This window comes from Homo sapiens, chromosome 14 (genome assembly GCF_000001405.40).
Source record: "Homo sapiens chromosome 14, GRCh38.p14 Primary Assembly".
NCBI lineage: Eukaryota > Metazoa > Chordata > Mammalia > Primates > Hominidae > Homo > Homo sapiens.
In genome coordinates, this window is record NC_000014.9 from 37,148,160 (window position 1) to 37,174,169 (window position 26,010).

Consider the following 26,010-nt stretch of genomic DNA (forward strand, 5'->3'; position numbering starts at 1 on the left):
CTTATATGTTTTTCCTACATATGGTAACTGTGAGTCTTTTTTCATTCAACTTGCCCGCAAATGTGATTTTATATATACTGTCATATATTTCTAACTTATATAAATAATGCAAAGTAAAAGATGTCCTTGAGTTTATAAGGTAAAAAATATTTTTGTGTGTAGCTACACATTGTATATTTTATATTGATTGTATGTCAGATTTCTATTATAGAAAGCAAATCATACTATTTAGCATGAGATCATCTTCATTTAGATACACCATAGGTCAAAACACAGATGTTTTGTCTTCATTGTTGCTCTGAGAAACTATGATTCCTACAAGAAACATTCCCTCCACCATCAGTAAAATAAGATGCTATGAAAGAGGTCAAAGTATTTGACGTCTAAATCAGAAGGTATTTTCTTTACTTCTGCCATATTTCTATATGGTTACATGGGGATATATAAGCAAAACAGGTCTCAATGAAATTGAATTGCTTTGTGGCAAATGCATTGAATAAATATACATTTATTGAGCAGCTACTATATTCAAAGCACTGTGGTAGGCCTGGAGATACAAAATAAACATGACTTGGTCTCTTCCTTAGAGGGGCTCACTCTTCATAAGACTTAAAAAACAAGAAATAGATCCAATGCACTCTTTTAAACTAATAACAAAAAATCAAGGAAAAGTAAAATAGATGCTTGTGAAAAGCCTCTTTGCAGAGTGAAATGGAATACTACATATTATGTAAGCATACCAATGAAAACATTATCAGTATATATAATGCTGGATGACGGCTATTTAAATATCCAAATTGAATGAACAAATGATGGCTCACAATAGCCTCAACCTCCAGGGCTCAAGCAATTCTCCCCACTTTGGCCTCCCTAAATGCTGGAATTACAGGCGTGAGCTATCTGTGCCTGCCTAGATGATCCATTTTTTGACTATGGAAGATATGAAGCCAACAAGAATCACATAGACATCATTATCACCACTGTTTTTTTTTAACTTAGATGCCAGTGCCTCTACTTTTCTCTTTTTCTTCCCTTCCTTGCTTCTTGTTGAACTTCTAATCTCCAGCTATGAGCTCAAAATACAAGGTATACACCAATGCAGATGTCCATGAACACATGAAAGAAACAGAAAATCTACTGTCACTTTCTTGATGCTTTATGAGGCAAACCTAATGAAACTATATTGCTCTGTAAAACAAAGTTGCTTACCATTTTCATATCATATTCCTATTTCAACTTTACAGAATATAAATTAAATGTTTTCTTAGGGCAACTAAAAACTGCTCCATCAAAAAAAAAATCCGCTAGGGCCGGCCACGGTGGCTCACACCTGCAATCCCAGCACTTTGGGAAGCTGAAACCCCATCTCTACTAAAAATACAAAAATTAGCTGGGCATGGTGGTGGGCGCCTGTAGTCCCAGCTACTCAGGAAGCTGAGGCAGCAGAATCGCTTAAACCGGGAGGCAGAGGTTGCAGTGAGCTGAGACAGCACTACTGAACTCCAGCCTGGGCACAGACTCAGGCTGACTCACAGAGCAAGACTCAAAAAATAAATAAATAATCACTAAATAGTCTTTAATATTTCTTATATTTAGTACAGTACCTTCAATATTCATCCTCCTTAGAACTATCTTGAAATCCCTTAGCTGTATACATTTCTCATTAAGAGAGAAAAAATAATTTAATTTAGTAATTATTTAAAAATTTTTTAAAGACATGGGAAAGTTATACTGCCATCTTGTGGTTAAAGTTTGATTACAGAAGCAAGCACTTCTGGCATTTCCCATTCATAAACCAAATCCACAACATAATATGTATCATACTTAAAACTTTTTCCTTACAGAAGGAGTAGGGTTGAAGGAAAAAAATCCTGTTTAGAACTTACATTCAAGAAAAATTATTATTCATACATATACCCAATTTCTTATGTTAAAGGCCACTGAATTAAAACAAGAAATGGCATTTGAGTCCCAGATACATAAATAAAACCTACGTGTTTGGCACTGTAGCTCCTGTTTAGAGATGTTTATAATTTATTATGACTATAATACATACCCTAGCCCTAATAACTTTGAAAAACAAAATTATGGAATCTAGGAGTTTCAGGTAATCTCTAAGATCTACAAGAAATTATGACATTTATCCTAAGCTTATCAATGATTTCTATTTTATCCAGGACTCTAATTCAAATTTTACGGCAAGAACCAACATAAAGAAAATAAATATTATACAAATAAAAACAGTTTCTTCCATCCCTCTTTCTTACTCATATACATAAACCCATTTTTCCATACATACACAGGTATGAATCACAATTAAAAGAAAAATTAATTCCCAAAGTACAGTCTGTATTTTTCAAGTGTAGAATTCTCTATGATCTATGCAAGGCAAAGATGCTTTGCAATAGTGGAATGTAATCAGAAGTTAACACACTTCTAGATCTAACTATATCTGCAGAAAGCTTTTCCTTTTAAAAAGAAAATAAAAAGCAAATCACCAAAATTATAGGAAGACAGCGCCATCTATAGGTCTGCACAAGTACAGAATAGTAATCTTAGTTTCAGATATAAATGTCCACTGTGATAAACTAGCCAATCAAATGTGCTGTCCTAGGCGGACGCTCCAAAATAATGCTGCTCATTCTCAGATCTCTGGAGAGGATCTTGCAATTTACTCCAAAGTGCTTTAACCTGCCTCTACAATCATGCCCCAAAATGATAGTGATAATAACAGCAATAGAAGCCTCAAGCAATCAGAACAAAAACTAATGTTTTTCACAATTGTATTATTCTGATTTGGCATACTTGATGGTCGATAAATATTGGTAACTTTTCAAGAAATATTAGCACATTGGTAGGTTCTCTCTCTCTCTCTCTCTTTCTCTTCATTCTGCAAAATTACTTTGGGCCATGATTCTATTTTAGGTGTCATCCAATTCTATCGAGTTCTATTGAATTTCATTCTTCTTTCTCCAAAGAGGAGGCTATACGTTCTCCCTACAGTAGTCTATTCTAGTTTTTACAGACATTAAATTACATGCGACTTAAGATTCCCTCCTTTTTCAGACAGGCCCCTCCTGTCCACTCTTGGGTTGCTCTCACTCTACTGAGTCACACCAGTATCTTATTAGTTGTGTGCGAATTCAGTTAACAATACGTGAGGGTGGAGGCTTGGCCCACTTCCTGACCAATTGCCTGTAGCATCTGGCAGAAAAAAAGATGCCGCATTAATGCCAACAGAGGCACTGCTGGTTAATATGGAGAATTTCATACTTAAGCTATGGCTGGCATTTAAAAATCTGCAAAAACAAGAAATGGACTTTTGTACAAGGGCAGACCCTGTTTGTTCATTAACACTCAAGTTCAAGAAAAAGCTGTGGTATTTAACATAACCAGAGAGAAAAAGAAGACTTATGGGGGCAATACTTGAAGGGGCTGCTTACCTGATTTCTCATTCTGCACACTAAGAGGCAGGGTGGAGTAATGGATGAGAGCTCAAGCTTTGAAAGCAAAGAGCAGAGTTTGAGTCTGTGTCTGTCATCAGCCTTGAACAAGATATTTAATTTCTCTGAGCTTCACTTTCCTCATCTTCAAGAAATTACAAATTGGCTCATGCCTGGAATCCAGCACTTTGGGAGGCCAAGGCGGGCAGATCACTTGAGGTCAGGAGTTCAAGACGAGCCTGGCCAACATAGTGAAACCCTGTCTCTACTAAAAATACAAATATTAGCTGGGCAGGGTGGCATGTGCCTGTAATCCCAGCTACTTTGGAGGCTGAGGCAAGAGAGACGCTTGAACCCAGGAGAAGGGGTTTGCAGTGAGCCGAGGTCACTTCACTGCACTCCAGTGTGGGCGACAGAGAGAAACCCCATCTCAAAAATAATAATAATAATAGAGATTATTTAAGCAAAGTAAGATGCTTTGCACATAGTAAGCATTCAGTAAATGTTAGCACTCAAAAGATAAGATTTATCTTACTTTTTAAAATCTTATCATACTTATTGACTATGATAGTTAGGAAGGATCTACCCAACCCAAACAAATATCCCAGGAAGTTCATTGTGACTTCTAAAGATGACAAAAAGAATGAATGAAAAGACTGAACTCAAAATAGAAATGAGAAAATGATAATTTGTTTGAAGGTCTGATATTAGTTTCAAAATATATCTCTGAAACATCTTTGAAAACCATTAGCGTCCACTGACTCTCAATTTCATTTTATTTCAATTTTTTTTTTTTTTTGACAGAGTCTCGCTCTCTCACCCAGACTGAAGTGCAGTGGCACAATCTCAGCTCACTGCAACCTCTGCTCCGGGTTCAAGCAATTCTCCTGCTTCAGCCTCCTGACTAGCTGGGACTACAGGCGCCTGCCACCATGCCCAGTTAATTTCATTTTATTTCTGCTATATACCTTAAAAATGTGAGCCTGCAGAGCGCAGAGAAGTCAGAAACACAGTTCTGGAAGTCACCTGCAAACAGACAACACTGAAGCCAAAGAGTGGATGGGTTTGTTTGGGGAGTTAGAATGTGTAAAACACAAGAAGAAAAAAACTAAATAAAATGAATTTAAAATAAATTTTTAAAAGACTGTGTAAAGCAAAAAACTTACAAACATGTAGAATATCAATTTTTGAGGAAAGGGAAAGTGGAGACAATAGAAGACTAATCAAATAGGGGAGAAAGGTTCAAGATGGTTGAGTAGGATTTTCTGGCTCTACTTAGAAGAACTGGAATAGTATATAGACAGTCACACTTCAAATACGTTATCCAAGACAGAATGCTGATGCTCAACACAGAAGAGACAGGAAACACCAAAAGTGGGGAAGGAGGAAAAGAGGCAGCATCCCTGGTCAGGACTGGCTAAGAGCTGGGAGTGACTTCCTAACATGAGGAAAGGGTGAGTGACAGACTTCCAGCAGCCCACATCCCCACCATCAGATCATGCAATCCTAGCCACAGGAGAGCCCCTTGACCATCCCAAGCCCTGAAACTAACACAGGAAGTTGATGGGAGACGAAGGGACAGGGCTGCTCCAGGGAGGGAGCTCCCACACCATTTATAAGACCTAAGAAGCTACAGGAAGGTGCCATTTTCAAAGCTAGCCTCTCATAAACTGCACACTGTCCTTCAGGCCAGCAGCACCAAGACTGAGACATTACAAAAGCTCAAGTTATCACTGCTGGAATGAGGAGTAAGATGGGAGCATTCCCACAGCCAGGGATAAGAAGCAAGCAAGACATGAGCTGCAGCAGCCAGTGCCAGGAAGCGGGTGCTGTCAGGACAGAGACTGGCATGTAAGTGAGCAGAATGAGTTGCTGGTGGGACTTGGTTGCGAGTTGGGTGGGTGCTCCTACAGCTGGGGTGGGGGAACAAGCTAAGCATCAGCTACCACTGCCAGGGTAGGGGGTGAACCCCCAGGACTGGGGCTAGAAAGAAACGTGCATTCCCTACCCACTGGCCCAGGCTGTTGCCACAAAGACAGCAGCTCCCTCTCCAGTGGTGGGGCCTCAGCATGGCTGCTACTGTCTCTAACACAAGCACTTAGCCTGAGGCCTAAGGATCATCCTGGCCACCACAGCTGGTGCCTGCTCTCACCACAAGCCCCACGAGCCTAGCTTCGCTCCTTCACTTCTCCCACCTTAACAGAGCACATAGCCCAGGGTCTCGACTGCTATCTCCTCAGCTGACCTATCTGCAAGCCCCACCTGCAGGACTGGAGACTTCCCCACCCAGCACATCACATCTACTGTCAACATGAACACACACCACTCAGGACCCAGAGAATCATCCCACTACAGCTTCTGCCATCATCCATGCTATACTGGCTGCCAGGTGATTGAAAACACACTCTATGACCCAGTTTACTGCTGCCATTATCAACATCTGAGCAAGCCACCTAGAGGCCCAAAAATCAGACCTCTAGTAACCACAAGTACAGGTGGCAGCATACGTCACCCTGGGGCACAAAGATAGGGATACTCAACCCACCACTGTCATCACTGGTGCCTGGAAACTGGCCCACCTGGCATCTTAGTCCCCAAGCAGAACATCACCACAGACTCCACTAATAATTGCACCCCAACCCACACAGATATCACTAATCCTGTTTAGAGCCAAAGAAATCATACAAAGACTACACTGCTGCATGCCCTCAGAATTAAAAGCCAAAGTGCCCTACCTAACAAACACTAAAGCTAGGTCTTCTGGAAGAAGTCCTCTCCTACAAAAGTAAGTTCAAAAATAGGAAGACGTGATTGTTACACCAGATGTGCAGATATAAACATAAAGACACAGGAAACATAAAAAAAAATCAATGAAATATGACTCTCCAAAGGAACACAACAATTCTCCAGTAACAGTTCTTAATCAAAAAGACATTTTCAAAATCCCAGTATAATGCAAAATATTGATTTTAAAGAAACTCAGTACAAAGACAACAGAAAAACAATTCAAGATATGAGGGAAAATTTTACTAAAAGATAGATTTTTTTTTTTTTTTTGAGATGGAGTTTCACTCTTGTTCCCCAGGCTGGAGTGCGATAGCATGATCTCAGCTCACTGTAACTTCCACTTCCCCAGTTCAAGCGATTCTCCTGCCTCAGCCTCCCGAGTAGCTAGGATTACAGGCATGCACCACCACACCCAGCTAATTTTGTATTTTTAGTAGAGACAGGGTTTCTCCATGTTGGTCAGGCTGGTCTCAAACTCCCAACCTCAGGTGATCTACCCGCCTCAGCCTCCCAAAGTGCTGGGATTATAAGTGTGAGGCACCACGCCCGGCCGATATCTTTTTCGAAAACCAAATAGAAATTCTGGACCTGAAGAATTCATTGAAAGAAATAAAAAATACATTTGAAAACTTTGGTAATAGAGTAGATGAGGCAGAAGAGAAAATCTCAGAACTAAAAGACAGCTCTTTTTTTTTTTTTAAGATGGAGTTTCACTCTGTTGCCCAGGCTGGAGTGCAGTGGCACGATCTCAGCTCACTGCAACCTCTGCTTCCGAGATTCCAGCAATCCTCCTACCTCAGCCTCCCAAGTAGCTGGACTACAGGTGTTTGCCACCATGCCTGGCTAATTTTTGTATTTTTGAAGAGACTTGAAAGAATAAGCAAGGCTTCATGACATTTGGGGCAACATACAGTGACTGAATTTATAAATTATCAGTATCCTAGAGGACAAAGAAACAAAGAGAAGATTAGAAAACTTATTTAACAAAATAAAATAAGTCTAGCAGGAGATGTAAGTCTAGCAAGAGGATATTCAGATACAGGTGGCTCAACAATACCTAGGAAGATACAATGCCAAAAAGTTTTCACAGCACATTATAATCAGACTGTCTAAAGTCAAAGATAAAAAGATAATTCTAAAAATAACAAGAGAAAATCATCTAGTCACCTATAAAGAAAACTCCATCAAACTAACAGTGAATTTCTTAGCAGAAACCTTATAGGCCAGAAGAGAATGGCATGATATAGTGATAGTGGCAAGAGAAAAACAAAACAAAACCCAAAAAACTTTCACCCTAGAATACTATACCCAGCAAAATTATAGCAAAATTATTCTTCCTAAATGAAGGAGAAATAAAGGCATTCCCAGACAAGCAAATGCTGAAGGAATTTATTACCATTAGATTGGACCTAGAAGAAATGGTCAAGGGAGTCCTAAACCTGGAATTGAAAAGATTAGATTTACCATCACAAAAACACACAAAAGTAGCCCAGCCCTGATGGTTCATGCCTGTAATCCTAGCATTTTGGGAGACTGAGATGAGTGGTCCACCTGAGGTCAGGAGTTTGAGACCAGCCTGGCCAATATGACGAAACCCTGTCTCTACTAAAAATACAAAAATTAGCTGAGCATGGTGGTGCATGTCTGTAACCCCAGCTACTCAGGAGGCTGATGCAGGAGAATCACTTGAACCCAGGAGGCGGAGGTTGCAGTGAGCTGAGATCGCACCACTGCACTCCGGCCTGGGTGACAGAGTGAGACTCCATCTCAAAAAAAAAAAAAAAAAAATACACGAAAGTATAAAACTCACTAGTAAAGCAATCACACAAAGGAGGAAGAGAAAAGAATTAAATGGTATTACTACAGAAATTCACCAAACCGCAATGACAAATAATAAAAGATTCACAGGTTCTAAAGACTGGGAAAATAAAATTAATTAATTAAAATAATAAGAGAAAAAGAAAGGAACAAAGAGTATACAAAGCAAACAGAAAACAATTAATATGACAGGAACAAAGCCTCACATATCAATAATATCAATAATAATCTTGAACATAAACATTAAATAATCCACATAAATGATACAGAACGGCTAAACAGATTTTTTAAAAACTATCTTCCAACTATATACTGCTTACAAGAAACTCAACTTATCAATAAAACACATATAGACTAAAAGTAAAGGAAAAGGAAAAGACACTCCAGACAAACAGAAACCAAAAGTGAGCAGGAGTAGCTACAATTATATCAGCTAAAACAGGCTTTAAGTCAAGAAGAGTAAAAGAAAGACAAAGATGGTCATTATGTAATGATAAAGGGAACAATCCAACAAGAGGATATAACAATTCTAAATATATGTGCACTCTATACTGAAGCACCCAGATTCATCAAGCAAATAAGACTAGATCTAAAGAGAGAGATAGACTCCAACACAGTAACAGTGGAAGACTTCAACACCCTACTTTCATCACTAGACAGATCATCTACACAAAATATCAACAAAGAAACACTGAATTTAAACTGCACATTAGATCAAATGGACCTAACAGATATTTACAAAACATTATATCCAACAAGTGCTGAATATACATTCTTTTCAGCCACACATGGCACATTCTCCAGGATAGACCATATGTTACGCCACAACACAAGTCACAACAAATTTTTAAAAATAAAATCATATCACGCCCAGCACGGTGGCTCATGCTTGTAATCCCAGCACTTTGGGAGGCCAAGGCAGGTGGATTGCTTGGGGCCAGGAGTTTGAGACCAGCCTGGCCAACATGGGGAAACACTATCTCTCCTAAAAACACACAAAAAAATTAACTGGGCATGGTGGTGCATGCCTGTAATCCCAGCTTCTTGGGAGGCTGAGGCACGAGAATTGCTTGAACCCAGGAAAACAAAGGTTGCAGTGAGCCAAGATAGTGCCACTGCACTCCAGCCTGGGTGACAGAGCAAGACTCTGACTCAAAAAGGAAAAAAAAAATCATATCAAGTATCTTCTCAGACCACAATGGAATAAAATTAGAAATCAATAGTAAGAGGAACTTTTGAAACTATTCATATACATGGAAGCTGAACATGTTCCTGAATGACCACTTGAGTCAATGAATAATTAAGATGGAAATGGAAGAATTCCTTGAAGCAAATGAAAATGGAAACACAACATACCAAAACCCATGGGATACAGCAAAAGCAATGCTAAGAGGGAAGCTTATAGCACTGAATAACTACAGCAAAAATAGCAGAAAGACTACAAGTTGACAATTTAACAATGCACCTCAAGGAACTAGAAAAGCAAGAACAAACCAAACCCAAAACTGGCAGAAGAAAAGAAATAATAAAAAACAGAGCAGAACTAAATGAAATAGAGACAAAGAAAACAATATAAAGGATAAACAAAACAAAAAGTTGGCTATTCAAAGGATAAATAAAATTGATAAACCACTTAGCTGGACTAACCAAGAAGAGAGAAGATCCAAATATACAAAATCAAAAATCAAAAATGAAACATTACAACTGATACAACAGAAATATCAAAGATCATCAGAGACTGTAAATAACTAAATGGTGACAAATTGGAAAACTAGAGGAAATTGATAAATTCCTGTAAACATACAACCTACAAAGATTGGATCAAGAAAAGATAGAAAACATGAACAGAACAATAACAAGTAGCAAGATTGAATCAGTAATAAAAGTCTCCCAACAACAACGACAAAAAGGACCTGCTGAATTCACAGTCATATTCTACCAAACATACAAAGAAAAACTAATACCAATTCTCCTGAAACTATTGCAAAAAACTGAAGAGGAGGTAATTCTCGCTATCATTCTATGAGACCAGTATCACCCTGATACCAAAACCAGAAAAGAACAGAACAAAAAGAGTAAACTACAAGCCAATGTCCCTAATGAACATAGACATAAAAATCCTCAACAAAATACAAGCAAACTGAAACCAGCAGCACATCAAAAAGATAATACACCATTATCAAACAGGATTTATTCCAGGGATGCAAGAATAGTTCAACATATGCAAATCAATGATCAAGCTCTATCACATCAACAGAATGAAGGACAAAAACCATATGATCATCTCAATAGATGCAGAAAGAGCATTTTATAAAATTCACCATACTTTCTTGATAAAAATTCTTAATAACTAGGCATATAAGGAACATACCTCAAAAAAATAAAGGTCATGTATGACAAACTCATAGCTAGTATCATACTGAATAGCAGAAAGTTAAAAGCCTTTCCTCTAAGAACCAGAACACTGGTTCTGGATGCCCACTTTTACAACTCCTATCCAACATAGTACTGGAAGTCCTAACCGAAGCAATCAGCCAAGAGAAAGAAATAAAAGGCATTCAGATTGGAAAAGAGGAAGTCACAGTGTCCCTATTTTCTGATGATATAATCTTGTATCTAGAAAAAACTTAAAGATTCCACCAAAGAACTGTTAGATTTGATAAATGAATGTAGTAAACTTTCAGGATACAAAACCAACATACAAAAATCAGTAGCATTTCTATACACTAATAGTTATCTAGCCAAGAAAGAAATCAAGAAGGCAATCCCATTTACTATAGCTATAAAACATATAAAATACCTGGAAGTAAATATAATTAAAGAGGTAAAAGATCTATACAAGGAAAACTACAAAACACTGTAAAAGAAATTAAAGATGACACAAACAAATGGAAAAAAATCCTATGCTCATGGATGAGAAGAATTAATAACAATAAAATGACAAGATTGCCCAAAGCAATCTACAGATTCAATGCAATCCCTATCAAAAATTTGGCTTCACGGAACAGAAAAAAAAAAATCTTAAAATCCATAGGGAATCAAAAAAGAGGCAAAATAGACAAAGCAATCCTGAGCAAAAAGAACAAAGCTGAGGCATCACATTACCTGATTTCAAAATACAATGCAAGGCTATAGTAACCAAAACAGTATGGTATTGGTATGAAAAGAGACATATAGACAAATGGAACAGAATAGAGAAACTAGGAATAAATCCACATATTTACAGACAACTCATCTTTGACAAAGCTGACAAGAGTCTCTGGGTGGGGAAAGAATACGCTCTTCAAAAAATGGTACTAGGAAAATTGGATAACCACATGCAGAAGAATGAAATGAACCCTTTTCTCTCACAATATACAAAAATCAACTCAAAATGGATTAAACACTTAAATATACGACCCAAAACTATAAAAATACTAGAAGAAAACCTAGGGAAAACTTTCCTGGACATTGGTTTCAGCAAGGAATTTATGACTAATACCTCAAAAGTACAGGCAACAGAAACAAAAATAGACAAATAGGACTTAAACTAAAAAGCTTCTGCATAGCAAAAGAAATAATCAACAGTGAAGAGACAACGTGTTGAATGAGAGAAAATATTTGCAAACTATTCATCCAACAGGCAACTAATATCCAGAATATATAAGAAACTCAAACAACTCAAAAGGACAAAGATAAATAACATCATTAAAAAGTAGGCAAAGTACACGAATAGACATTTCTCAAAAGAAGACACACAAATACATATATGAAAAAATGGTCGGCATCACTAATCATCAGAGAAATGCAAATCAAAACCACAATGAGATATCATCTCTACCCAGTTAGAATGGTTATTATTAAAATGACAAAATTAACAGATGTTGTTGAGGGTGCAGAGCAAAAAGAACTTACACTCTGTTGATGAGAATGTAAACTAGTATAGCCACTATGGAAACCATACAGAGATTTCACACAAAAAAAACTAAAAATAGAATTACCACTCGATCCAGCAATTCCACTACTGGGTATCTACCCAAAGGAAATGAAATCCACATATCAAAGTGATAGCTGCACTTGCATGTTTATTGCAGCACTATTCACTATAGCAAACACATGGAATCAACCAAAGTGCCCATGAAAAGATGACTGGATAAAGAAAATGTGGTATTTATAGACAATGAAATACTATTTGGCCATTAAAAAATACTAAAATCATGTCATTTGCAGCAACATGGATGAAACTGGAGGTCGTTATCTTAAGAGAAATAAGCCAGGCACAAAAAGACAAATATTGCATGTTCTCACTTATACGTGGGAGCTAAAACATTTGAACGCATGGAAGTAGAGTAGAAAAATAGATAACAGAGGCTGGGAAGGGTGAGAGAGGCAGGAGGGCAAGGATAAAGAGAAGTAGGTTAAAGAGTACAAACATACAGTGAGATAGTAGAAATAAATTCAGGCCAGGTGCGGTGGCTCACGCCTGTAACCCCAGCACTTTGGGAGGCTGAAGTAGGCAGATCACTTGAGGTCAGGAGTTCGAGACCAGCCTGGCCAACATGGTGAAACCCTGTCTCTACTAAAAATACAGAAGTTAGCTGGGCCTGGTAGCATGTGCCTGCAATCCCAGCTACTCAGGAGGCTGAGGCAGGAGAATCGCTTGAACCCAGGAGGCAGAGGTTGCAGTGAGCAGAGATGATGCCACTGCACTCCAGCCTGGGCAACAGAGTGAGATGTCATCTCAAAGAAAGAAAGAAGGAGGAAGAGGAGGAGGAGGAGGAGAAAGAGGAAGGGGGTGGGGAAAAGGGGGGGCAGGTGGAGGGGGCGGGGGGGAGGAGAAGAAATAAATTCAATGTCTCATAGCAGAGTAGGATGACTATACTTAAAATGTATTATATTTGAGTAATAGACACCCTAAATATCCTGAGTTGATCACTATTCATTACATACATGTAAAAAATTTCTCATATATTCCATAAATTTGCACAAATGAAAAAAGAGTGACCAGATAAAAAGAAGAGGGTAAAAATCAATCACAGAGACAACTTTAAAGGGAAAAACTGATCAGTGACGTGAAATTCTGCAAAGATTAGATAAAATTAGGAATGAAAAATAGCAGTTAACAGTTTCGGCATAAAGGTAAACATGGATATGCCAATTATAGCAGGTTGAAGACTGAGTGAGGAACTTTTCAGAAAGGTTGACCATGAAAAGAGGAACACAGGACCATAGCTTGAGATATGGACCATAAATTTGAGAAACACAATATGAGAAAAATACAATAGAATGTCTGTTGTGGGTTGGTCCCAGAAAAAGATATGCTGAAGTTTTAACTCCTGGTACCTGTGAATGTGACTTTATTTGGAAATAGGATCTTTAAGGATGTAATCAAGTTAAAATATGGTCATATTGGATTACAGTGAACCCTAATCCAATGACTGGTGTCCTTATAAGAAGAGGGACACAAAGATAGTGACAGATAGGGAGAGAACGGCCAGGCACGGTGGCTCACGCCTGTAATCCCAGCGCTTTGGGAGGCCGAGGCGGGCGAATCACAAGGTCAGGAGACCAAGACCATGCTGGCTAACATGGTGAAACCCCGTCTCTACTAAAAAAAATACAAAAAATTAGCAAGGCATGGTGGTGGGCACCTGTAGTCCCAGCTACTCGGCAGGCTGAGGCAGGAGAACGGCGTGAACCCGGGAGGCGGAGCTTGCAGTGAGCCGAGATCGCCTCAATGCACTCCGGCCTGGGCGACAGAGCGAGACTCCGTCTCAAAAAAAAAAAAAAAAAAAAAGAAATCTAATATTAAAAAAAAAATTAAAAAGATAGGGAGAGAACACCAAGTAATGAGGGAGGCAGAGATTGGAGTAATGTGTCCACAGGCCAAGGAATACCAAGCGTTGCTGGCAACTGCCAGAAGCTAGGAGAGAGGTGTGGGTCAGATTCTCCCTCACTGTCTCCAGAAGGAGCCAACCCTGCCGACGAAAGAAGAAATTTCTGAAAATTTTCTCCCATTTTGTAGGTTGCCTGTTCACTCTGATGGTAGTTTCTTTTGCTGTGCAGAAGCTCTTTAGTTTAATTAGATCCGATTTGTCAATTTTGGCTTTTGTTGCCATTGCTTTTGGTGTTTTAGACATGAAGTCCTTGCCCATGCCTATGTCCTGAATGGTAATGCCTAGGTTTTCTTCTAGGGTTTACTCATCTAACAAAGGGCTAATATCCAGAATCTACAATGAACTCAAACAAATTTACAAGAAAAAAACAAACAACCCCATCAAAAAGTGGGCGAAGGACATGAACAGACACTTCTCAAAAGAAGACATTTATGCAGCCAAAAAACACACGAAAAAATGCTCACCATCACTGGCCATCAGAGAAATACAAATCAAAACCACAATGAGATACCATCTCACACCAGTTAGAAGGGCAATCATTAAGAAGTCAGGAAACAACAGGTGCTGGAGAGGATGTAGAGAAATAGGAACACTTTTACACTGTTGGTGGGACTGTAAACTAGTTCAACCACTGTGGAAGTCAGTGTGGCGATTCCTCAGGGATCCAGAACTAGAAATACCATTTGACCCAGCCATCCCATTACTGGGTATATACCCAAAGGACTATAAATCATGCTGCTATAAAGACACATGCACATGTATGTTTATTGCAGCACTATTCACAATAGCAAAGACTTGGAACCAACCCAAATGTCCAACAATGATAGACTGGATTAAGAAAATGTGGCACATATACACCATGGAATACTATGCAGCCATAAGAAATGATAAGTTCATGTCCTTTGTAGGGACATGGATGAAATTGGAAATCATCATTCTCAGTAAACTATCACAAGAACAAAAAACCAAACACCGCATATTCTCACTCATAGGTGGGAATTGAACAATGAGAACACATGGACACAGGAAGGGGAACATCACACTCTGGGGACAGTTGTGGGGTGGGGGGATGGGGGAGGGATAGCATTAGGAGATATACCTAATGCTAGATGACGAGTTAGTGGGTGCAGCGCACCAGCATGGCACATGTATACATATGTAACTAACCTGCACATTGTGCACATGTACCCTAAAACTTAAAGTATAATAATAATAAATAAATAAATAAATAAATAAAAAGAAATTTCTGTTGTTTATGCTGCCCAGTTTGTGGTGCATTTTTCTGGTAACCCCAGCAAATTTATATAAGGACTACAGATAATAATGAAAAAATACATATCTGATAGAATATTTACAATGTGTATAAACCATGATAACATCAAAGTGTCAAAATAATTGACACAAACATAATAAAAGATATTAATCACTTGGAAAATAACTATCTTCCAATTTAGATACAATAACAATATGAGAATGAAAACAAAAAAAGGAAATTGGTAAGAAAAATCGATCAAAATCTAGTACAACTGTAAAAATACTGCACCTTTAACCTGGTTCCTTTCATTCATTGCCATTTTAAAGATACCACCAGGGAAGGGTGAGTTGGGAGGAGTGGGGAGGATGAATAAAAGTGGGTTAAAGTGTATAAACATACAGGAAGAGAGAAGGAATAAATTCAATGTTTGATAGCAGAGTAGAATGATAACACTTTAAAATGTATAAATCATTTATACAGTATTGTTGTAAGTATTATCTAATGACTAGAATCCCTGAATATTTTTCTGTCTTCAGAGTAGGAACCTAAGAATATTCTATGGCTTAGACTTTTCATATTTATTTGTTAATATGATCAACAAACATTTCTGAGCCCCTACTTGCTATACTCTGAAACACCTGGTTCTCAATACCCTAAGAAGCTGTAGTCAAGGCTGGGGGCAAAAGGGAGGTGAGGAAGGGCTGGTTTAACCACATGTTTTTAAAATATTGTATAAAAGTTGTTTTAAGTTTTATGTCAGTTGAATCATATAGCCACATATTAAGGGTAGTTACACTTTTAAAACATCTTTCAGGAAGGTAGAGTAAAATAAGAAATCCTTTAAAATGTGGTATGCAACTCATATTTTGTTTGTTCTTAAATTCTGATTTTTGAGAACTAGATTTTCTTAAAGAGAGACAAGATTACATTTTACTTAAAATACATCCTTTAAAGGTATTTTATAATTAATTCGAGCAATAGGGTTGCTTCCTCCTATGTGCTTGAAATAAGGGTTATTTTTTTCTCCCTAATTACCCAGATAATGGGTTCCAGCCACCCTTTGATGTGTCATAAAGGCTCACCTGTTTCAGTACAACCTGCTATTTATTATCAAACAATTACAGTTTCCCAAATCCTGAATTTCCAAAGGTGCCATTTATCCAAATCACACGTGCATCCCCTTTGCACCATTTTGCAAAAGAATTTTCCTTGATCAAAATTTTAACCTTGATTACCCCCTGGTGTATCAGCCCTTTTATTACGTAGTTCAAATTAAAATCCAAAGGACTTCTAGTATACATACTATTAAGGCATCTATTTTAACTGTATTTTAACTATTAGAGTAAGAAAAAGGAGTAATCTTGTGAAAATGAAGATATGTAAGAAATTTGAAAACATCCTATATCTTTTTATTAGCCTTTTCAGGTTAAAAGCCTTGGACTCTCTCCCTATTAAAATATCACAGCATTTGCATATACTCTCAGATAATTAATCTCCCAAAAGCCTATTCATTAATTCCAGATTTCCCTCCCTCAAAAAAGTCTTTCATTTCACTCTTATTTGACTCTTTGAAGGTGATTAATGAGATAACACTACACAAAGTACTTGAACTGTGTTTAGTGCAAGATTGGAAAACTTGTTTCCAGAAAACTTTGAACTAAAACAATGAATTTAAATGAAAGCAATGAACTGCAGGGAGATGCACAAAGTAAAAACAGAGTAATTGATGGAGATGTGCTTATAAGCACCAGGGACTGGCTGGGTGCAGTGGCTCACGCCTGTAATCCCAGCACTTTGGGAGGCTGTGGCGGGCGGATCACTTGAGGTCAGGAGTTTGAGACCAACCTGGCCAACATGGCGAAACCTCATCTCTACTAAAAATACAAAAATTAGCCAGGCATGGTGGTGGGTGCCTATAATCCCAGCTACTCAGAAGGCTGAGGCAAAAGAATCGCTTGAACCTAGAAGGCTGAGGTTGCAGTGAGCCAAGATTGCGCCACTGTACTCCAGCCTGAGTGACAAAGTGAGACTCCGTCTCAAAAAAAAAAAAGATACCAGGGACTAAGGTAAGGCTGGAAAGGATGAAACAGCAACCTGGAAATTTTGGAAAATAAGTCAGTCTTGCCAGGATGGTGATCTCACATGCATGATATATAGAAGGTGATAATGCTGTAGAAGGCATTCAGAGTGGGACTGGCAGACTTTGGGGAATATGAGTAAAAGATTCTGGGAGGCAGGAGGAGGGTCCTGGAGTTGCCACTATGGAAGAAAATTCAGTGTGGACAAGGCTTAGGAGTGACCTCAGGAGGAAGCCTGACAGGTCCTAGTAAGAGCAGGACCACTCAGGGGGCTAAGATAACATTGTCACAGACCCTGGGAGGTTCTGAGGTTGGGTACAAAATCCCTGTGAGAGTCTGGGGAGAATGACCATCTGAGTGGGCCTGATCTTATATGACATGGGAAATAAGAACTACCCCGTGGTCTTTGGGAACACAGGGAAGGGTCCAAACTGATCATTAGGAAGAATGGGAAAGTCTGAGATGGACCCATGCTCCTAGCTCCAAGTTAGAGTTGATCAAGTACATGACAGGGGAGCCTCCTAGAGCCCTGTTGATATGCAGACAGAGTAATGATGTCATATGCAGGGGCTGCTGAGACCAGAGATCTTGGGATCCCTAACATGTTTAGGGGAATTCTGTCAGACCTTATGTCAATCCATTTGGTGTCTTTGTGAGAAACAGAAAAAGGTGTCCCTTCCCCCAAGTGAACACGTCTGTTCTAGGATGCACAAATCACGGAGCAGAGCATGTGCTAGATTTCAATTCCTACTTGCTCTCATGTCCAGATCCCTTTTTCAGTCCACAATGTGTCCAACTACATGTAGAGGCCCTGAATGGATGGAGAAGTAAAATAACTAAATTTTCTCTTGGCTAAAGGATAATGTTTGCCTAGATAGATGAAATGATTTGGAGTGAGCAAGGTACTACTTAATGGAAAGTCTGTATGGATTGTATTTGTAGGTAAAACAGTTATTTTAAGGAATATAAACTAATTACAGCTACAGCGATTATAAGAGTAGACTTGACTTCGTCTTTCCAACTCCTATAGAAATGGTTGCATGTATGTGCAACTATGGCATGTTCATTATTCCCCTGCGCATCAGTTTCTTCGTCTGTAAGTGGGGATTATTATAGTGCTTGCCTTGTGAAGTTGTGGAAAGGATTAAAAGTGTTAACACATGTAAAGCTTAGAACTGGATCCGGCATTTAGTATTTACTCAATAAATATTAGCTTATTTTATTATTTGCATCATTCATATGCTAATGAAAATGTTAAAGCTGGGTGGACTGTAGAGTCCATCTTGGAAACACTTATGCAGAAAATCATTTTCAATCTGGGCCTTGGAAAATGGATGGAATTTCAATAGGTAGAGATATATCTTCTTGATGAAGCTAGGAAAGTTCTTTGTAGGTGTTTTGAAGCCATTAGGCAAACAATTAGTGAGAGGAAATATTTGTATTTTATTTGGCACAATATCTCACCAGTTACCTTCTAATCCTGCTATATATTCTAACAGGGATCGAAAGCCTCTAGTCTTTCAGTTAAGAAAACCTGATGAATCAGATTGTTCCCTTATCTCCATACAAATAAAAATATTAGCTTCAAAAAAGAAAAAAAGTAAGGGGTAAGACATTCTAGGGGATCAGGAATAAAGGTGTAAAGTACTGGTAACAGTCAAGAATTGCCGGCAGACCTGTTCAGCAGAAACTGAACAAAATGTGTAGGAGAGGGTTGAAAAATAAGACTGAAAGCTAAATTGAGGGCATATAACAGGGAGTATGAAATTCATTCTTCTGTCTGGTCAGCAGTGAAAACCAAGAAAGATTTCACTTGCGCAATTTGGCTTTGACCTTCCCCCTCTATAGAGTCTTTTTTTCTCAAAGGTCTTCTACACAGTGCTTCTAAACTTTAAAGTGCAAATCAATGACTTGGGGCCCTTCCAAAAACGCAGATTCCGATATGGTAGTGAAACTGCCATTGCAAAATTGTAACTGAGACAGTGAAATAAATCTGACCTAAGCAACTCCATCTTGCTTCTAACCTCCAAGCTGTCCTTGTTCATTCCTGGGTATAGGCCAAACTAACTTTGGGAGGAACTTCATTTATAGTTTACAGTTTAAAACAAAGATGGTAACAGCCCTTTCCCAAGACAGAACCCCTTCTTGCCTGGAGACTAGACTGCCTTTGTGGGACTAACAAATTAGCCAAAAGATTAGAAATTATGGTTTAGGAGTCATGCAGCTGGAGGTTACAAGATTCTGACCCTTCCCAAGTCGCTCCTGGGGATAACATCACTATTGTGAAGCCTAAGATCAGGGCTTGAGATATTTTGCAGACCCTGCGTTTGATGGATCAGCTGGCATCACCTAGATCTAACTGGTTCTTGTGATCTTGTGGCCCCCACCCAGGAACTGACTCAGCATAAGACAGCTTCGACTCCCTATGATTTCATCTCCGACCTGACCAATCAGCACTCCTGACTCTCTAGCTGCACCGCTCCCCCCACCCCCTAATGCTTGGGGAGACTGATTTGAGTAACAATAAAACTCCAGTCTCCCACACAGCTGGCTCTGAGTGAATTACTCTTTCTCTATTGCAATTCTCTTGTCTTGATAAATCCGCTCGGTCTAGGCAGCAGGCAAGGTGAACCTGCTGGGGCAGTTACAGTAGGTGAGGCCTGGGATCCCACATTTTCAACAAACTTCCAGATGCTACCATACTCCTTCCTGCAGCTCATCCATAGACCATATTTTGAGTACCAAGGGTCTGATCCAGTAACCTCTTCTCATTCTCATCTTTAACCCCTCTGCAATGCTGGTCTTTGTTGATCTTCCTGAAGCTCTCATCATTGGTTTCTCTGACTCTCTCATTATTGGCTTCTGTGATTCTCTCACCTGAATCTTTAAATTTATATGTAAAGACCAATCTTCAGATGTACGCATCAGTTTCTTCTGATGTGTAATGTATTGTCCAGGCTACTGTCAGTGCATCAATCTCTTCAGTATTTTAAATGAAAATATTACAAACCATCTTCTTATAAAAGACAGACCTATATCGTTATAGAAAATACCTATTGCCCATTTCATGGTGTATCTAGTTTCTCTGGAAAATAATCTCCCCTGAGGTTCCCCACCTCACCCGCCCCACCAATCTGCATAGGGATTAGCTACAGTTGATTGGTACAGAGGTGGGCCCCTACTAATGCTGGGTTATTTTTAGTCTTTCCCCAGGATTTTGGACTAGAACCGAAAAAAAAAGCAAGTTAGTCTCTCACTCTCTCCAGGAAAAAGAAGTCTTGGGGATCACATTCTGATACACAGACTAAAGAACAACAACAACAAAAAACCCAGCAGTCAACTGTGAGAAAGAGGACTGAGGAGGACACCAGGGGAACACAAGGAAATAGCTTCACAGTGTGGCACTCTGACAACCTTATATCTTCACATAGACCAAGCAGGCAAGGTTAGACCATAATCTGGCCTGAGTCTTGGCAGAATGCCCTGTGATTTCTCCAAGTGAAAGGGTAGATAAGCAGCCTGGGGAGGAGCTGCTATCTTGTGGAAGACTGCCACACGGCCGCTTCTCATCCCTCTCCCTAGTTTCAGTTGAACGCAAGACTTTCCACCTTACCCCCATGTAGGTTACAGCTGCAGATCTCAACATTAAGTCTATAAAACTACGTGGCTGTGGTTTAGAGGTAGATCCTTAACAGCAGAGTGACCCACTCATCCCACCTATCCTCTGGTCTCTTCTGTTCAGTGCTGACTGTGGTGCTATGGGCACAGGGAGCTGGCACCATGATGTCTTGCTTTTGCTGTCTGTATAACTAATAAACTATCTGACTGCATTTGGGCCTGCTTACTCCTTACTAGGCGAGTGTCTGTGGAAGTCTTGCAAGCCATCCCGAAAGGTGTAGTAGTAATACTTGTGGCCCTATTATTACCTGCCTCCCTGCTGCCTTAGGAACACTTGACTACTAAAAGAGAAGAGATGGAGAGACTTCACTTCCTGAGTTATCCTCAGCACTCCAGCCCCTTATTCCAGTTTGTTCCAGGAATGCATCCCAGACCTTGAATTCCACGAGATACCCTGGTATCTCTCCAATAAACCTCCCAGTTTCTTTTCTTTTTCACCTAAGAAAGCCAGAATGTATCTTTGGCCTTTACAAACAAAAGGTCATAACACACACACACACACACACACACACAGAAGTGTTGTATTCATGGACAATACCAGTGATTAGAACTCCAGTGCCAGAGATTCAAATCTATTTTGTTTTTATTAAAATTCTTCCTCTCTTGTGTATTGATTTCTATCTGGCCCTTGACCAAGTATATATAATATGATTAGCCCACATGTACTACAGTGCAATAAAGATAAAGTTTTATGAAAATGTTTTTGGCCAAGTAAAAGAAAATATAATTCTTTTTTACTATTATGAAAGTATAAGTTACTCTAATCATTTATTAATAACTCCATAGTATTAACTATATAAATCAACTATGCTATTTTTTATCTTATAAATATCCTAATTTGCATTTATATTAGTTACATTTATAAGAATATATGATGGAATCACACATATTTATGCCAAATACTTATCACTCAACAAAACAGCATAAGTAGGATCAGAGTTTGATCTACTTTTTTTTTTTGAGACCGAGTCTCGCTCTGTCGCCAGGTTGGAGTGCAGTGGCACGATCTCGGCTCACTGCAACCTCCGCCTCCTGGGTTCAAGCGATTCTCCTGCCTCAGCCTCCCAAGTAGCTGGGACTGTAGCCGGACACCACCAAGCCCAGCTGATTTTTGTATTTTTAGTAGAAACGGGGTTTCACCATGTTGGGGAGGATGGTCTCGATCTCTTGACCTGGTGATCCGCCTGCCTCCGCCTCACAAAGTCCTGGGATTACAGGCGTAAGACACCGTGCCTGGCCGAGTATGATCTACTTTTAACATTCTTTGAGTTTAGCTGTGCCTAATACATAGTATGATCATATAAATTAGCATACAGGTGCTTATGAGTCATCAGTCTTAGCTTAGGATGTTAATCAATTGGCCTCACTTTCTCTTTGGACTAGCTGAGTTTTCTTTCATCAGGGTCATAGACTACAAATCAACGAGTCAGGTACAGAAGACAGAACCTTAGGCATTGCGGAATTTGACCAAAAATGGTAAATAAATTGGTGCAAATTCATCATCACAATTGGAAAACTGAAAGAGCAAGCAGTGGGGCCACTGCAATTATAATAACGGGTGGTGGCTCACGCCTGTAGTCCCACCACTTTGGGAGGTCAAGGGGGTCAGATTGCTTGAACCCAGGCGTTGGAGACCAGCCTGGACAACATGGTGAAACCCTGACTCTACAAAAAAAAAAATCCCCTTCCCCCACCTCCCCAAAAAACTAGCCGGGCATGGTGGTGGGCTCCTGTAGTCCCAGCTACTCTGGAAGCTGCAGTGAGAGGATCACTTGAGCCCGGGAGGTTGAGACCAGCCTGGGCAACATGGCGAAAGCCCGTCTCTACAAAAAAAATTAAAAAAAAAAATAGCCGGCATGGTGATGCGCATCGGTAATTCCAGCTACTCAGGAGGCTGAGATGGGAGGATTGCTTGAACCCGGGAGTTGGAGCAGCGAGCCGAGATCGCGCCATGGCAATCCAGCTCCGGTGCCTTCCAGTCTGGGCAACAGAGAGAGACTCCATCGAAAAGAAAAAGGGGGGAGGGGAGGGGAGGGGAGGGGAGGGGTGGGGAGGGGAGGGGAAAGATTTTACAATTTCCTGTAAGCAATGAATGGCTCTAATGTGATATTGATGAAATACCATCTTTAAGAAAGTGTACAGATTGTAAGTGACACGTGGCTGCTTACGTTACTCCTGAGATGCAAGTAGATCATGACATAATGATAACCAGTCATAATTTGCAGTAATCCCTTACAAAAAGTCCAAATTTGTTTGAAAATACAGAAACTTTTACTAGTCGAAGTTAAACATTAAACATTTTCTAGTCATTGCCTTAACAGGATTTATTAGAGTTACTATAATTTATTGAAAGAATGGCTAGATTTATAAAATGTTTTCTGGTTATGAGCCAATTATGGCAATTATTTTAATTATATATTTATAATAAAAATGCATGACTGTAAGATAAAATTTTAAACCAAATCATAATTTATATTTTAAAATAGCTTTAAAATACTTGCACATAACACATGTCGTGGTTAGTAACTTTCTCCAGCTACATTTAAAAGTATTTCTAAGATTAATTACAACATTTTTTTCTAAAGGTTTATTTTTTCCCCACAGCATAACTCTATAAATTAACGTGAGCCCATTATATCAAAGGTGTTTATGTGTGTTACATATGCATTTAATTTTAATATCCTTATTTAAGGCACGAATATCCCCAAGCAAGCACAGTATGCAATAAGAAGTCCTGTGGAGTCCTGTAAGTACTTTGATGAGGAATGCAGGATTTATGTAAGACCTGAGCGAGCTTGAAGAAAGACTCTACAATTGATAAAACTAAGTCAGACCGAACTGGATCATTTTCAAGTAAAATAGGTAGCAAGGCAAAAAGACCGCCTCAAAGTCGCTGCCCTTGGGGCTCTGCCACTTGCTTTACAGGCTAGGAACGGACAATGCCGGGAACCCGAGAGCGGCCGGCGCGGACGCCGAGGCAACTTTACTTGGGGCACCCACTACTCGCAATCAACTCCCGGCCTCCTCTGCTCTCGCGCCTCTAGGGGCTCAAGCACTGCTCCGGGAGCGCTGAATTTTGAGGAAGAGGGCAGAACTTCAGTAAGGAGACCTGTCTGGGCAACGGTTTCAGGACACGCGGTGGGGAAAGCGACTAGCCTCCGGCGGGGCAGGGCGGGCTGTCCTTACCTGCAGAACCACCGGCCACGATCTGCCGAGAAGCCTCGCGCACTAAGCTGACTTCAGGCTTGGCGGACATCTTCGCCAGGCGGGAGGACAAGGGAGTGGGCTGAGATGCGTCAACGAGCTCGCAGCCTGCACAGCCTACTGATCCAGAGAGCCCCGGCTGGGCTGGTCCTCAAGCGCGTTGGCTCCCTGTGGAGCAGCAATCCGGCGACTGCTGGAAAGCGAGGGTTCGAGGCGCAGATTCGTCGCGCGATCTCCGGCGCGTCGGAACCTGTTCGCAGCGCTCTCGCAGAGGCGCCCTCGGCTCCGAAAATGTCTCTGGAAAGAAGACCCGCGGATGGGTTTGGGTTGGCTCACCGCAGCGGCTCAGGCTTTGTCTCCTAGATTGGCGCCCACGCCCTTCTCTATCAGGAGCCTCCGGTAGTTTGTCAAACTAGACGGTTGCCTCTGATAACTCAAGTGAAGTGACCCAGGCCTGGAGCGCCAAGTACAAAGCGGGGACGACACTTGCACCTCCTGGCAAGCCAGAGCACAGTGAGGTTCAAAAGAAGGGACAAGTGAATAAATTCCTCAGTTAGTTGTCCTATAATTGTGGTCTGTAGCAACTAAGTCAAAGCAAATCTAATTTACACTTACCTTACAATAGAGCTAAGGTAGTACTTTACCAAAAATGGTTTTGATTTAAGGTAAAATCATACCTCATCAACTTGAGTTTTATTTACCTAAGGACCAAAAGAAGAAAAAGCCTGGTTACAAATAGTTTCTTCTATACCCAGGTCAGTGGTTCTTAAAAGTGGTTTTAGTACCCACAGCATCAGCATAATTTGTGAATGTGTTAGGAAGTCAAATTCGTGGGTCCCACCCCGACCTAAACGGAATCAGAATCTCTGGGGATAGGGCCCAGAAACGAGTTCTCTGTTGATTGTCATGAACTTTAAAGGTTGTGAACCACTGACTTAAACAATTGAGGAACATTAAGGAACTTAACAGTATATTCTCTCAATAAAATGTTTGATTATTCTTACTAGCCCCTTAGGATAGTTACCAAAACAAAACTACTAATTTATACTCTTTTAAAACTACAAGTTGCCTGTGTTATGTAGGAGAGATATAAGATTGTGAAATTTTCCAAAAATACCTGCCACACCCCTAACAGACAGGAGATGATAAGAGTAAAAGAGAGAATTGGGAGGCTTTAGAAGCCCTATTGTAATATTTCTTAAAACACATTATTTATTGCTAAATATATTTAGTGTGAGCCATGTAAAAATTGCCATTTTTGGAGGTCAAAAACCGTTGAATATCAGCAATTTAGTATGGTTCAATTTATGTGGTTTCTAATCAAATGTACAAAGTACAATAATTTGGTTTCATACTTGATTTTTTATTTCTTAGGCTGAGTCATTAAAAGTTGATCAGTGATATATGGCAAAATTATTTAAAGTGCTTGAGGAATTGGGGAGACTTGCTGCTTATGTGATCAGATATACAAAAATAAAGTTTTTCATTTCATTAAATATTTGATTAAAACTGCTAAGTTTGAAAATGTTTACCAAGAAATAGTTTTCAGAAATTTTGCTAACTTGATAAAGGCTTTTGAGCAATATCTTTCAGACTTTTTACTAATTAAATAGGGAATCTTGAGTGCAATATAGAATCACTTATTCAACAAATATTGAGAACCTGTTATATACTAGGTATAGAAACAGAATTTCAGAGCTCATAGAAAATGTTTTCCTCATTTTTCAAAGCAGAAGCTGAGTTTTCCAAGATCACACTAGGCGTAATAGTATAGCTGGGATTCCATCACAGGACTCCTTCTTTTGATAGCATTGGATTGTAGATTTAAATATTAACCACAGGCTAAAAAAACTACATTCTGTGACACAAAT

The 26,010-nt window shown here is 39.6% G+C and overlaps 1 protein-coding gene and 1 long non-coding RNA gene across 4 annotated transcripts in view, besides 3 other annotated features; one reads left to right on the forward strand and one right to left on the reverse strand.

Moving 5' to 3' along the window:
• The window catches only part of SLC25A21 (solute carrier family 25 member 21), a 494,686-nt gene extending 470,239 nt beyond the window's left edge, over positions 1 to 24,447 (reverse strand). For all 3 annotated transcript variants that reach the window (XM_047431871.1, NM_001171170.2, NM_030631.4), the window contains exon 1: positions 24,122 to 24,447. In XM_047431871.1, coding sequence (XP_047287827.1) covers positions 24,122 to 24,191 — 70 coding nt within the window. In that variant the 5' untranslated portion in view covers positions 24,192 to 24,447. The remainder of the gene's footprint in view (positions 1 to 24,121) is intronic.
• Positions 19,536 to 20,088: an enhancer, noted in NCBI's record as "OCT4-NANOG hESC enhancer chr14:37636900-37637452 (GRCh37/hg19 assembly coordinates)". NCBI's record gives its function as "activates a minimal SCP1, AML or CMV promoter by ChIP-STARR-seq in primed H9 embryonic stem cells {active_cell/tissue: H9 hESC(primed)}" and the evidence as "EXISTENCE:reporter gene assay evidence [ECO:0000049][PMID:30033119]".
• Positions 23,562 to 24,141: an enhancer, noted in NCBI's record as "OCT4-NANOG-H3K27ac-H3K4me1 hESC enhancer chr14:37640926-37641505 (GRCh37/hg19 assembly coordinates)". NCBI's record gives its function as "activates a minimal SCP1, AML or CMV promoter by ChIP-STARR-seq in naive H9 embryonic stem cells {active_cell/tissue: H9 hESC(naive)}" and the evidence as "EXISTENCE:reporter gene assay evidence [ECO:0000049][PMID:30033119]".
• On the forward strand, positions 23,867 to 25,635 carry SLC25A21-AS1 (SLC25A21 antisense RNA 1). Its single transcript, NR_033240.1, has one exon. It is a non-coding gene; the product is annotated as an SLC25A21 antisense RNA 1 (long non-coding RNA).
• Positions 24,142 to 24,720: an enhancer, noted in NCBI's record as "OCT4-NANOG-H3K27ac-H3K4me1 hESC enhancer chr14:37641506-37642084 (GRCh37/hg19 assembly coordinates)". NCBI's record gives its function as "activates a minimal SCP1, AML or CMV promoter by ChIP-STARR-seq in naive H9 embryonic stem cells {active_cell/tissue: H9 hESC(naive)}" and the evidence as "EXISTENCE:reporter gene assay evidence [ECO:0000049][PMID:30033119]".
• Positions 25,636 to 26,010: the final 375 nt, after the last annotated feature.